Raw genomic sequence first — 1,817 nt, 5'->3', positions numbered from 1 at the left:
TTTCTTTTCCATTCATCTATGCACTCATTGGAGTTCCAATCAGGGTTATAAAGAGGTACTGCCTTTCTTACTATTGGATATGATGGTTCCCCTAAATCTTCACCTTTCCTATTTTCTCTTTTTCTTTTTGGACTACTACAGGAGACACATTGCTCGTCTCCAAAATTCTCTGCCACCTTCAGAGCTGTCTATTTTTCAGCTGTGGCTAGGGTTTTGGCTTAGGCGCAGCATAACATCCCTTCATGAGAGGTCATACACCTGAGTTAAATTTTGGAAAGCTTCAATATACCTATTGGGGTCATCAGAAAATTGGCCTAAGTCTCCCTTTATTTGCCTAAGGTCCTGGTCCTGCAATGTGAAAGGAATTTGAATCCTAGTGGCATCACCTCCATTGGGCACTTTCTGTAAGGATAAGATTGAAGCTGGGGGAGTGGGGAGTTTTGGAAATGGTGGAGCTGGAGGAACTGATGGCATGGTTGGAGGGGGCCCAAAATGAGGGGAACAAGAAGGGCCCAGACACTCTATAGCTGCCTCAGATGATTCCCCTGGAAGTTTATTCTCTAGTTTTGGGGAATCTCTTTTTTGGGCCTGCCTGATATGACTGCTAAAAGAGGTGAGTTGATTGTTCAATGTTTGCAAAGGTCTAGGTTGTCTTGCCGGGAAAAGAACACCTGTACATAGGGGATCTTGGACCATTTCCCCTCCCATTTACAGGAAAGATCTAATTGTTAGGTGGTATTAAAACCAAGGCTTCCCTCCATGGGCCAGGCTAGTTCAAGATGGTAAGAAGGCTAAACCCTTGCATAAAAGAAAATCAGCTGGTTTTTTTTTTTTTTTTTAAACTCTTGGGGTCAAAGGCATCCCAATGCTTCAGAATGCACTCCAGAGTAGTGCAGGTCAAGGATGATCTGTTACCCATCTAGAAAGATAAGTGAGAAAAATTCTTCTTTTTAGTCTCCTTTTCTTTGGAATGGCCCAGTATGGAGGGGAAGACAGTGGGGTGTCCCCCGTTTGTCCTCCTTTGTCCCCTGAGCCACAGCACTTGTTAAAGGTGTCACCCATGGATGCAGGTGTGACACTCAGCCATGGATCCAGAGGAACTAAGCAATGGGGTAAGTCATGCTTACCCATACAATTCTAGTCCTTTATTGGTGATTTGCCTTTGACTTCCTTGGTTTATGTGATCTGTGTGGCTCCCCAATAGATAAATCTCAGGAAAGACTATGTACCAGTTGTATTTGGGCAAGGCTCCTTTAATGGAGGAAATGTACTGGATTGAACTCTATATTCTGCTATTATGGCCTGGACTACAGTATTTATTCTTAGGCAGGGACTCTGGTTAAACTTCTGGACATAAAATCCCCTTACTATTTAAGTACAATTTTTTTTTTTTTTTTTGAGATGGAATCTGCTCTGTCGCCCTGGCTGGAGTGCAGTGGTGCTATCTCAGCTCACTGCAAGCTCTGCCTCCCGGGTTCATGCCATTCTCCTGCCTCAGCCTCCTGAGTAGCTGGGACTACAGGCGCCTGCCACCATTCCCATCTAAATTTTTGTATTTGTTTCTTTAAGTAGAGATGGGGGTTTCACCATGTTAGCCAGGATGGTCTCGATCTCTTGACCTCGTGATCTGCCCACCTCAGCCTCCCAAAGTGCTAGGATTACAGGCGTAAGCCACCACACCTGGCCTTTAATCTCGAGTTATATTCTTTATATGGTGAGAGGTAGGGGTCCAGTTTTCTTCTGAATATGACTAACCAGTTTTCCCCTGTACCATTTATTGGATAGGGGATTATTTCCCTTGGTTTATTTCTGTTGAC

At 44.2% G+C, this 1,817-nt stretch overlaps 1 annotated feature.

Moving 5' to 3' along the window:
- Nucleotides 999-1,199: a silencer, noted in NCBI's record as "peak6540 fragment used in MPRA reporter construct". NCBI's record gives its function as "represses an SCP1 promoter by STARR-seq MPRAs in K562 erythroleukemia cells {active_cell/tissue: K562}" and the evidence as "EXISTENCE:reporter gene assay evidence [ECO:0000049][PMID:32103011]".

The sequence above is a fragment of the Homo sapiens genome, chromosome 7, assembly GCF_000001405.40.
Source record: "Homo sapiens chromosome 7, GRCh38.p14 Primary Assembly".
Taxonomy (NCBI): Eukaryota; Metazoa; Chordata; class Mammalia; order Primates; family Hominidae; genus Homo; species Homo sapiens.
This window is presented reverse-complemented; position numbering and strand designations above follow the sequence as displayed.